At 36.1% G+C, this 12,883-nt stretch overlaps 1 protein-coding gene across 2 annotated transcripts in view, besides 2 other annotated features; it reads left to right on the top strand.

The window, feature by feature from the left end:
* The window catches only part of LAMA2 (laminin subunit alpha 2), a 633,429-nt gene that overhangs the window by 555,411 nt on the left and 65,135 nt on the right, over positions 1–12,883 (top strand). For both annotated transcript variants that reach the window (NM_000426.4, NM_001079823.2), the window contains exons 42-45: positions 98–214; positions 2,268–2,450; positions 4,515–4,520; positions 7,119–7,273. In NM_000426.4, the coding sequence (NP_000417.3) occupies positions 98–214; positions 2,268–2,450; positions 4,515–4,520; positions 7,119–7,273 (461 nt within the window). The remainder of the gene's footprint in view (positions 1–97; positions 215–2,267; positions 2,451–4,514; positions 4,521–7,118; positions 7,274–12,883) is intronic.
* Positions 2,055–2,660: an enhancer, noted in NCBI's record as "NANOG hESC enhancer chr6:129761748-129762353 (GRCh37/hg19 assembly coordinates)". NCBI's record gives its function as "activates a minimal SCP1, AML or CMV promoter by ChIP-STARR-seq in naive H9 embryonic stem cells {active_cell/tissue: H9 hESC(naive)}" and the evidence as "EXISTENCE:reporter gene assay evidence [ECO:0000049][PMID:30033119]".
* Positions 2,196–2,490: a silencer, noted in NCBI's record as "tiled region #661; HepG2 Repressive non-DNase unmatched - State 20:ReprD". NCBI's record gives its function as "represses a minimal TATA promoter and a strong SV40 promoter by Sharpr-MPRA in HepG2 cells {active_cell/tissue: HepG2}" and the evidence as "EXISTENCE:reporter gene assay evidence [ECO:0000049][PMID:27701403]".

The raw sequence follows: 12,883 nt of genomic DNA on the forward strand, positions 1-12,883 counted from the left end.
TTAATTTTATATTAAAATAACCTGAAATTGCACATCCAAGTATAAGCTCAGGGATGATAAAACTTATTTAATCCTTTTTTTTGTTTTTTATTCGCAGAAAATGAAGACCATCTAAATGGCTTAAAAACCAGGATAGAAAATGCTGATGCTAGAAATGGGGATCTCTTGAGAACTTTGAATGACACTTTGGGAAAGTTATCAGCTATTCCAAATGGTAAGCATTCAGGACACTACCAACTGTGTCAGTTGACCTGAAGTTTTGAAGACTGTTGTTAACTTTTACCATTTTTTTCTAAGATTATTCTGGTACTATTATCTGGAAATTAGATACTGTTTTTCTTACTCATGAATTCTTCTTTGTGAGAATGAGAAACTAAACCATACTTTGCATTATGGTATTTTTTATCTTTTATTGCCTTTAGCCAGTATCCTTAGGAATGTGTTACAGAAAGGAAGATATAGACATCTTATTATTATAAAACTCATCCTTCAGTATTGGCAGGGGATTGGTTCCAGGACCCCCCCCCACAGATATCAAAATTCTTGAATACTCAAGTCCCTTTTATAAAATGGCATAGTATTTGCATATAACCTATGCATAGCCTCCCATATACTTTAATCCCTAGATCATTTATAATACCTAATATAATGTAAATGCTATGTAAATTCTTACAGTGTATTGTTTATGAAATAATGACAAGAAAAAAGTTTGTCCATGTTCAGTACAGACACAACCATTTTTTCCCCTAAATATCCAAATATCCAACTCTCCAAGGTTGGTTGAATTTACAGATACAGAGCCCACTGACACAGAGGGACAACTGTATTGTCTTCTGTGTTTCAGCCCAAGAAATCGTGTATTAGTGAAATAGAATAAATCACATAGACACTAATCTCTAAAATACTGATGTACCACCACAAAGACACAGTTTATTAAAGTACCTGCAGTAATAGGTGATAGCCCACTGCATTCTCTCTTGATAAAATTCAATTTCTTTAACTATTCCAACTTTCAAAAACATTAGTGGTCAAACCATGTCTGTAATATCTTTCTACCTATTAGAACTGCTGGAAATTTTTGCATGGTATTAGTTCCTGAAAGCACACGTTATTTTAAAGATACTACTTTTACTATTTTTATATTGTTAAAGCATGATATAATAACAACAAAGATTATAAACACTTATTGAGTACTTAATATACTTATGTTAAGTGTATGTAATCCTCATACCAATTGGAGCAAAAACATTTGCTTCATTTGCTTGCATCAATTGGTCATATATATATATATATATATATATCTATCTCAATTGGTTATATAGATAACATAAGTATAGATAACATAGGTAACATTCAGAATAGTCACTTCACTACTTTAAGAGCTAATTAGGTATTCATACAGATACAGAACCTACTGACACAGAAGGACAACTTGTCTTCTGTGTATAACATAAGTTAGCACTAACACTTAACATCAGTTAAGATACTGTTATTATCCCCACTTTACAGGTGAGAAACAGACAGAGGATACTGAAGGCCATTGTTAAAAGTGGCACAGAGGAAACTTAAACCCCACAGTTTGATTTCAGAGCCTATGATCTTAACCACTAACCTATACACACTAGTAGTCATCTATAGGTACAATATACAAATTAGGATCAGGAGACAAATGCACATATTTATACAACACAGTTAATATTAAAATCTCGGTGGTTTTTACTTTTTTAACGTTTAAAAACCTGAGTAACTTTTCAGATTTTCATGTCCCTTTTTCAGTAGTAAGTATATAGAAAATTTCCAATGCTGAAAACAAGTATAAATGCATGGCCTAACATACCTGAAAATGTTTCTCTATCCTAAAATGAAAATACGTTAGTTTCCCTCCAACCCCCACCCCAACCCCTGCCCTGCTTTGGAAATGCAGATTAAATCTTAAGCCTCGTTTTCATGAAGCTCATGTGGATAAATTTATCTCGTGAATAAGTTCAGCAGCAAATCACAATATGATCTTATACAATGAACATTTAGAATAGTCACGTCACTACTTTAAGAGCTAATCAGGTATTCATAGCAAAAGTCCCTGAGAAAATTTAATTTACCTAAAAAAATTTGCTTCATTTGCTACACCTGAATGAGACAAAGTTCAGCCTTTTCCCTTTGTAAATGTGTCCGAGGTCAGCCAGCCACAGCCTCGCTTTGTCAAGCATGGATTAAGCCACTAACTCCACACCCTTTGTTTTGTTTTTCATACCCTCATCTGCTGACAGATACAGCTGCTAAACTGCAAGCTGTTAAGGACAAAGCCAGACAAGCCAACGACACAGCTAAAGATGTACTGGCACAGATTACAGAGCTCCACCAGAACCTCGATGGCCTGAAGAAGAATTACAATAAACTAGCAGACAGCGTCGCCAAAACGAATGCTGTGGTTAAAGATCCTTCCAAGAACAGTAAGATCTCCTTTTTCATTGTGATGATGTCATTTATTTCCTCTCACTGTAAAAGTATCCCAGACCTGTAAATGCTCGAGTTGGAAAGACCCTCATGGTGGTGTAGTCTGCCTTCCTTCTTTCATAGATTGGCCTCAGAAATTGAGTGTCATGCAGTTCCAAAGCTGGAATCCAAGTCTTCTAGCTCTGCCCCGGTGCTTTTTTCCTCTGAAATTTTTCCAGTTGAGAAGAGATTAGGAATTCTCAAGGTGTGCCTAACATTCAGCAGAGAGATGCAAAACACTTTTTAATCCGTGTGTGTAATTAAAAACACAGTTGTACTTGGGTAATTATATCCTCAGAACTGGCGAAGTGTCATGGAACATAGAGGTTAAGGGGCACGTTCATGAACAGACTTGTTAGAACAGGATATGAAAATGATATCAACTTGAAATGCATTAAAATTTGAAAATCTTGATATTTTATTATTTAGATTCCAGTTACATCACATTTCTGGGAAATAAAAATAAAGCATTTATCTAGTTTCTAAAGACTATTCACATCTCTTATATATTATATAAAATTATATTGACTTAAGGATTTACTGAGAAAACCTGAGAGAAAATATCATAACTTATATTATTAGTTAAATATAGTCAAAATATTAAGATTTTAAAATGCATTTTTCCTTTTCCGTCAAATGATACAAGGCTATATTGGGCCAGGTACAGTGGTTAACACCTGTAATCTTTGCACTTTGGGAGCCTGAGGCGAGAGGATCACTTGAGCCTAGGAATTCGAGACCAGCCTGGGCACCATAGCAAGACCCCATCTTTACAAAAAATTTAAAAAATAGCCAGGCATGGTAGTGACATTGCACCTGTGTTCCCAGCCACTTGGGAGTCTGAGGCTGGAGGATCCCTTGAACCCAGAAGGGTGAGGCTGCAGTGAGCTGTGATCACGCCACTGCACTCCAGCCTGGGTGGCAGATTGAGATGCTGTCTCAAAAAAAAAAAAGGGGGTTATCTTGGTATCCTTGTTACATGGTTTCACCAAAGGAGATGCTTGGGTAATCTGTGCTTTTCACTTTCAAGAGACTAGCCCTCTTTATATGCCAACATTTTTGGGGGGGTATCAAAATATTTGGAGTATAAAAACAAAAGCACTGTAATTGGTATTATATGCCATAAAATTCAAATGCTGTTTGAGTGGGGAATGGAGCCTGATTTCAGCATCCTAGCCTCAAATCAAATCCTATGGATGCTATGATATAATAGACATTATTAATACGACTCCTTCATGAGCAAGGAAGAGTACAAACACATATAACATAAACTTCAGAGCCAGGGTGAAAAAGGGGAGATAAAAACATTTTTTAAAATTTTTTAATGTAAGCCCAGAAATGGCTTCTCTTGTAGCTCAAAGTTTACATAATAACTTCTTATGATTTATGCCAAATCACAATATTCCCACTAAAAATGAATGAAAACAAAATTTTAATCAAATATTACTATCTCTGCTGCTTACTTCATAATTTAAGATATATTTTTAACTTTTATTTTAAGTTCAGGCGTATAAGTGCAGGTTTGTTACATAGGTAAACCTGTGTCATGGGGGTTTGTTTTATGAATTATTTATTTCATCACGCATGTATTAAGCCTAGTACCCATTAGTTATTTTTCCTGACCCTCTCCCTCCTCCTGCTCTCCACCCTCCAAAAGAATTCCATTCTATTTTAGATTGATTCTCAACTGGTAGTGGCCTTTTGTCATATCTCTGTTTTAATCCTATCCTCTATTATGAGAAATAGTTAATTATCTATAAATATTAATTAAATTGGGTCTGTTTTCTATCTTACTAAAACATAGAAATAATTTTTAAAATACAAATAGTGGCCACTAAATTATATATTTTGTGTACTTTTATTTGATAACAATTGCTTCAGTTAAAATGGGGTGCATTTATAATTAGTACCTGTTATGAAAAATACCATTTTTAGTCACTACTTTATAATATTTATAGAAAATACTTCCTCATGAATTTATAATTTTTTTTTGTTTTGCTTCCATGTGAAATTGCCTGCAGAAATCAGTACGTATATGTTTACTTATATACCTTTTAGTAACGCTCATGCTTCATTGCCTATTGCAAAAAGTTTCAGCTTTGCATGTACTATATTTTGGTTTTGCTTTAAACATTGCGTAGCTATTCTTTCCACTGTTACAGTATTAATGGTAGATGCGTAAAAGGAATCTTCCTTTATAAAAAGGTCATATGTGGATAAAGGTGATATAAAATGTTTTTAATAGTGTTATAAAAAGTTTGGTCAGGCGAAGTGGCTCATACTCTAACCCCAGAAATTTGGGAGGTCAAGGTGGGAGGATCACTTGAGGCCAGAAGTTTGAGATCAGCCTGGGAAACATAGCAAGACTCTATCTCTACAAAAAGGAAAAATGAGTGAAATATCTGTATGATAGCCACATAAAAGTGGAAAACTGAATTTCTCTATAGAATTAACTAGATTATGCTGTTTCTGATAACACAAATTCACCCCAACACACGAATGACTTAATTGCAAGAGGATTAAAATAGATAAGGTCTACACTGTTGTTGTTTTTACCCACTGAAGCTCACTTTTTCCTCTCCTTGTAATTATTCTCAACTTCTGTAGAATTATATTTGGAGAAACACATAATAAAACTAGGTCTTAACAAATGAACAACTACTGGGATATCAAAATGTTCTCTCTTAAACATCCCACAGTTTAAATTGAAAGTCAAGAAAAACTAAAAAAATAGCTACAAAAAATAATAACAAGAATAACAAAATTTAATATATCACTATTTGAAAAATATGACCAAGAGTGTCCTCAGCGGAAAATGAGAGCAACTACATTACTAAACCATCATTGAAATAACAATTCTAAACAATCAACTTTGCTGACTTTAGAAAAAGCAGAGTTAACTTAAAGAATGAAAAAGATGGAAAAATTAATGAATTTGAAGACAGAAAATATTAGACCTGATAAATCAAAAAGGTGACTCCTTAGGAATATAGATTAAAAATTAAGTGATTGTCAAGTTTCATCAAGAAAAATAAAGGACAAATAGGCAAAGCTCTAAAAGAGGTATCACTAGACAAGGGAGGAAATTTAACACATAAGAGATCACTTGGAAAAACTTCAACTGCTCCGGAGAATAGAGGAAAAAGAGGGGAGAAGAGGAACTTCCAAGTTCCATTTTGAAACATTTGGCAAAAACTTCTGAGAACTTGTGAATAAAAGGGTCTGTAATTTGCCTAAGTCTAAGTAGTCTTTAACTACTTTTGCTCTTTCTCATTAATCTAAATCTAAATCATTTTGCCTCAGTTTTAGAATAATTTGTAGAATGTCAGAATAACAATGGAGAATTAAAGGAAGGGAAAAATGAACAAACGGTTTATTAAAAGCATACAAAATAAAGGGATCACTGTGTTTATGCTATCTGTATGATGATATAACAAACATTTCTATCCAGATAACATGCATTTCAGGAAGAAAATACTGCACTCAGTTCTTGATATAGCAAATCTATTAGTTAAATTTAATAATAGACCTATGTTCTTTTTAAATGCCGCTAACAGCATAAGTCATACTTATGAGTTCAAAATACCTACTTTAAAACCTAATTTTAAAAAAATGATAATTTACTTCCCTTTGAGCACATGTGATTCGTTCCTGAGGGTTAGTTCTCAGTGGTTGTATGTCAGCCGCAAAGCAGATCATTCAGAGTCTAACACAGCATGTAGCCTTGAACCTTAAGCAGTTTAACTTTTTCATCAGAGTCACAGTGACAGAAAGTTGAACAATACACACTTAATCAGATAATAAATGACATAGTGTGGATGAGACTGCCAGCATCCCAGCAATAGAATAAGTGGTTTACCACGTGGCATAGGCCCTCCCTTGAAAAGCACATACTGAAAGTCTATGGATCAGTGATGACCTTCAACTATTTTAGGGTTGAAACTTTGAAATTGCCAATATGTAACCCTTTATTTTTTTTAACCTACAAAAACAGCTGTTTAATATAGGTCAACCTAATATGTAACACAGGGTAATCAACTATTCTTCAAAATGAAATTGAACTGCACCATGAAAGATTTAATTAAATGTAGGCCTTTAGTCTAAGGGTTTTTCAACATCAAAATGTTCTTCAAAAGACATTTTGATAGCTTCTCTCTTTAAGATGTGCAAAAAAAGACGGTGAGAAAAAGAAAGAAAACCAATTTTGTGTAAAAACCCTGATTTAAATACAGTTCTGGCTTGGACAGACTAGGTGACATTTTAAAGATGCTTTCATTTCCTTGCTTCTGTGACTAAAGTTCTATTCTGTAAAGGTTAACTTTTTGGCTGAAGTTAGAAATTAAGCATTGAATTAAGTTCTTCATATTCTCTACCTTCAATGCTAATTTTTACCTTAATCAAAAAGAAAAAGTGGTGGCCCTCTGTCCTAACATCTACTCCCCTGGCCTGCTTGAGTCTCAACTAAAATATTGACATTTGCCATCACACATTTTGCTTTAGCTGTTATGGCCATGCTTTGTCACATTAATAAGATGAAATTGTTTGGTTAAGCATACTGCTATTCTAATTCTGTGTGTGCACGTGTGTGCATGCATATACATGCACACTAATTTTGTTCTATGCAGTTGCCGATGCAGATGCCACTGTCAAAAATTTAGAACAGGAAGCTGACCGGCTAATAGATAAACTCAAACCCATCAAGGAACTTGAGGATAACCTAAAGAAAAACATCTCTGAGATAAAGGAATTGATAAACCAAGCTCGGAAACAAGCCAATTCTGTAAGTTCTTTTTATCGTCAGTATCAGTAACTGATTGTAATTGTTGGATTATTCATAGAGGGAATGTCTTTCCCCAGGATTCCCCGTTGAATGATCTTGGGTCCTTTTCCTTTAACTCGAAGCGATTTGGGGTAGGAGGGGTTGGAGTGGGGGAGAGGTTAGTTTTGTTTTGTTTGTAAATTTCAAAAGACATTTCATGAGAATGATAATCACCACTTATTGTTTTAAAACTGGGAATTCTGGTATATTCTATTACTATTTGCATAGAATAATACAAATAGCAAGAAAGAAAACCTTATTATTGTATACTAAAAAGCCATGGATGAGAGTACCTTCCTCTTGCTAAAAACAAACCAAAAAAAAAGGCCAACTAATGGGGTTATGGCAGGAATGAAGGAACAATATACAGAATAAGAGCAAAGAGAAACAAACATTTTACATATATATTCTTTTGTCTGGTATAAACAACAATAAAAATGGCTTTGGTTATACTTTTTACATTTATTTTTTGTTTTGGAGTAGATAGGAAATAGCTGATTTGTCTCAAAATTTTGCTCTTTACTTACCCAATTAGAAGTTTACTAGGATAGAAACAGAGCTTTCTAGAAGGTAGCATGCTAATGAGCCAGGGCAGAGTTGCTAAGTGGCAACGTGAAACTTTAGTCAAAGGAAGGAAGTAAGGGAAGGGGAGGAGAGGGGAGGGGAGGGGAGGGGAGGCGAGGGGAGGGGAGGGGAGGGGAGGGGAGGGGAGGGGAGGGGTGGTAGAAAGAAAGAAGGAAGGGCAGTTTTCTTGTTTGAACAAGAAAGGCTTGAACTCAAACCTTTTTAGATACCTCAGTTTTCCATGTCAAAAATTCTGTTTTTTGAACAACTTTGGAACTAGGATGATCAGAAAAGCCCTTTCTTAGTTCATCAGTTTATATTTTTAGTAGTATTTAAGAATACGATGCTCCAGTAACAGCATATTCTTTTTCCTCCTTATTCACATCTAACACTTCTAAACAACTCCAAGACAGTAAGTTCAAGGTGAACATTGAAAAGGAATTCACGACTGACTGAAAAAAAACCTAGAAAACAACAAAAAGATTAGTGAAGATGATGTTACATAAGATCAGAGTAGTAAATCAGTGAAAAGATCTGAGAAAACATATATTCAGCTAGAATATGAAAGCCAGGCAGTATCGTTGACATGTGATCATTATGTATGTAAAGCACAAGATTAAAAGAAACCAGATGTTACTTCAAGGTTTGAAGTTTTATGTAAGATTTAGCCAACATGGAAAAAGCCTCTACTATGTTCAGTGTTACTTTCCGTAAGGTACACAAAGACGAATAAAGGAGTTCTTTCACTCACAAAGTTTATAAAATAGTAGGGAAAATAAAATATGTACACGTACCTTGTCACACAATGCAGAATGTTATGCCACATTATAGAAGCCGTGAGAAGTGACATAAAAGTTCTAGAAAGAACAATCACCTCTAGTAGGGCCTGAAGATTTCCTGAAGGGAAGGATTTGAGCCAGGCATTGAGGTGGGATAGTGCTGGGGAGTTGGGGGTGGAGTCAGGTAACAGGGAGAGTATTCTGAGAAGAGGGAATGACTTAAACCAAGGCAGTGGGAGAAGGAAGTTTTAGGGTCCATTTAGGAAAAAGAAGTCCAGTTTGCCCAGAGTAATTGATAAAGGAAACACATAACCAGAAAGATCAACAGAGGCCAGGTCTCGTCAGGCCTTCAATAATCAGTTAAGCAATTTCATTTAACAACACTGGTACTTGGGATAAGCCTCACTGGTTAGGATAAGCTGAAAGCTTTGAGCATGGAACACAGTATAATCAGAGCTGTGCTTTTTAAATATAAATCCAGAAGCAGTGTATGGGGTAGATGAAAGAAAGAAGAATGAAGGACCCAACTATAGCTGTGGCAAGAGAAAAGAAGAACGTGATGTACCACTCCTATATTTTGCAATGTTAACTTGGAAGAAGCAATAAGAGTAAATATTATTTTGTGAATCTCACATTTAGCCACATTTTCTGACTTAGTCATCAAGTGGAGAAATCTAGACATTTTTATTATTTCTTCATTGTAAAGATTTCTGAGTGCTTTTCCCCTCCTCACAAAACGGTGAAATTCAGACATGTAAGCATATAAAACCTGTCTTAAAGTACAAAATAAAAGAAAAGTATAGGCTGGGCATGGTGGCTCAAGCCTGTCATCCCAACACTTTGGGAGGCTGAGGCAGGCAGATTGCATGAACTCAGGAGTTTGAGACCAGCCTGGGCCATGTCACAAAACCACATCTCTACAAAAAATTGAAAAATTACCTGGGCATGGTACATGCCTATAGTCCCAGCTACTTGGGGAGATGAGGTGGGAGGATCACTTGCTCTGGAGGATGAGGCTGCAGTGAGCCATGTTTGCACCATGGCACTCCAGCCTGGGTGGCAAATAGAAACCCTGTCCCCCCCCAAAAAAAAAGAGAAGAAAAAAAGAAAGGTACAAAAGTAACGTTAAGAAAAAGTAATCATTGTCCATGCATTTCAAAGAAATTCCCAATCAGTTTTGGAAATGGAATTACAACACAATGCCTTATTTTTTGTAAGACGTTAGAAATATGCAAGTAGCCAATTTTTTTCCAAATGAGTTTTGTACTAAATGAATATTACATTTTCTGATTTGTAAATATGGATATCTGGATATGACCTTAACACATACTTGACATGACCAAAACATTAAAGACATTTATTTTAAAGTAGCTTTCTCTGGGTTTGTTGATTCTGAAATTGAGTGGCTGATACTCCTTTAAATGAATGACCTACTTACTGGATGAAAAATGCAGTGAAAATCCAATAGATATAATAATGGGATACTCAATAATGTTTGAGTTCATCATGATTAACTGGTAAATAATGTTGCAGTATTGAAATGCCTTAAAGATACTTAATGCTTAGTGATTTTTCTTTAGATGTCTTACTAAGGATCTGCATTAGAAATAACAATAATTGATAGAGCCAAACATTCTAAAAGGATGTTTGAATTTCAGAAATTTCTTTCCTCTTACAAGAGTGACATATCCTAAAGATTTCTTCTAGAGATACAGTATTTTGATTTACCTGATTTCTTCTAGAGATATAGTATTTTGATTTACCTGATTTCTTCTAGAGATACAGTATTTTGATTTACCTGTTTTAAGTTGTTTAAAAGAAATACCTATAACTGAAAATCAAAACAGAAAGTATTCAAAAGGAAAAGACTACTGATTATGTACTGGCTGTCAACAGTTTGGGCTAAGTGAATGTTTCAGTTTCTGAGAGTATATTCAAAACCAGAAAACAGAAAGCAGGTAATCCAAGAGTATTTTCTATATGAATGTGTGAGAGCTGGGCAATAGATTACTGTCTAGTCCACTTCATGCTGCTGTGACAGAGTATTACAGACTGGGTAATTTATAAAGAAAATAAATTTATTCTCACAGTTCTGGAGACTGGGAAGTCCAAGATCAAGATGCTGGCAGGTTAGGGACCTGTTTTTATGCTTCCAAGATGGCACTTTGAATGCTCAGGAGAGGAGGAACATTGTGCCCTCACATGGCAGAAGAGCAAGAGAGAGAGAGCTCTCACCCCTGTAAGCCTTTTTAATAGTGGCATCAATTCATTCATGAGGACAGAGCCCTCATGACCGAAACACTTCCCAAAAGGCCCCCCTCCCAACACTGTTGCACTGAGGATTAAATTTCAAGCAAATGAATTTTGTTGGACACATTCAAGCCATAGCAGTTACTCTGTAGGATTAATTGCCGGCATATTGGGTATAACAACATCATTTTGCTTCAAGAATCATATTTGTTAGATATGTATTCTATACAATAGATTGGTTGTAACCTCTAGTGACATTAGATACTCAGTTTTAAAATGGCTTCTCTCTTAGACTTGGAGTTCTCAGAGCAGTTAGATTTTAGTGCTGCTGCTCTGTCTGCTACACTTTTTTTTTTTTTTTTTTTTTTGAGATGGAATCTCACTCTGTGGCCAGGCTGGAGTGCAGTGGAGCAATCTCAGCTCACTGCAGCCTCCGCCTCCCAGGTTCAAGCAATTCTCCTGCCTCAGCCTCCTGAGTAGCTGGGACTACAGGCACATGTCACCACGCCCAGCTAATTGTTTTTGTATTTTTAGTTGATACAGGGCTTCACCATGTTGGCCAGGATTGTCTCAATCTCTTGACCTCGTGATCCGCCTGCCTTGGCCTCCCAAAGTTCTGGGATTACAGGCGTGAGCCACTGCACCCGGCTCTGTCTGTTACACTTTGGCAACCCCCTTTTCAACACACTAATCATGGAATCCCGTTTTTTTTTTTTTACCAGGCTTACCTAAGCAATGACTGAAATTCATTCTGTGACCAAATGATCACATATTACATTTATATTGAGTCATCTCTTCTCTAAATAATAACTGAGGGATATTATTCAATTGTGTTGTTTGTTTTGTTTTGTTTTGTTTTGTTTTGTTTTGTTTTGTTTTGTTTTGACATGGAGTCTCACTTTGTCACCCAGGCTGGAGTACAGTGGCACGATCTCAGCTCACTGCAACCTCTGCCTCTTGGGTTCAAGCAATTCTCCTGACTCAGCCTCCTGAGTAGCTGGGACTACAGGCACATGCCACCACCATGGCCGGCTAATTTTTGTATTTTTAGTAGAGACAGGGTTTCACCATGTTGGCCAGGATGGTCTGGATCTCCTGACCTCATGATCCGCCCATCTCAGCCTCCCAAAGTGCTGGGATTACAGATGTGAGCCATCACACCCAGCCTCAACTGTGTTTTTTAAACAAAACTGATTTATTAGGAATTAAACTAGCCATAATACAGCCATAGGGCCAAGCTATAAAGCATTTATTAAATAAAAATGAAGTAAACTACATACAGTCGCTTTGACTACTAATTCAGCCCCATTCAGAATTGGATATGATTGTCTGCCAGGGATAACGCACTATGCTATTCAGTTCTACTCATGAATTCCAGTCAGATCTTGATTTCTTGTTCACTTTGATCCTCTTATGATGTCAATGGTACGTATAGCCTGCCTCAGATATTAAATTTTCTCAATGCCAAGGTCTTCTCTGATAATGATTTTGGTTCACTTTCAGCAGCTTGCTAAAAAATCACTATATCTGACACCCTTTCCTGAACATTAAAAATATCTGAAGACCATATTTTTCCCACCTGCCCTCTACTGTGCTGTCTTTCTCTTGCTTCTCTCTTTTTATCTCTAATCCCTTGGATGACCCTTGGTATAGCTGCCATTGTATCACAGAACACCCTTTGCCAAGTCCCATTGCTCATCTGCTTTGCCATATTAACATCCAAGTAAAAATTGTACATTTCCTACCTCCATTGTTTTGCAATTCATTTTCACTCACCTACTCTCAACACTGTATGTAGAAGGGAAATTCCATGATTTGTGAAGCAGGAACTAACTTCCCAACTGAAAACCACCCTATCCAGAAGACTGTCTCCCTAGGACACAGAACAAACACTCTGAGGACCATAGTTGGCCCTGAGTCCTGCACCCAGCAGTTGGCAGGCTGGCCCCACCTTTTTGGGGAAGGCAAGAATAAGAAA

Source organism: Homo sapiens, chromosome 6 (genome assembly GCF_000001405.40).
Source record: "Homo sapiens chromosome 6, GRCh38.p14 Primary Assembly".
Taxonomy (NCBI): domain Eukaryota; kingdom Metazoa; phylum Chordata; class Mammalia; order Primates; family Hominidae; genus Homo; species Homo sapiens.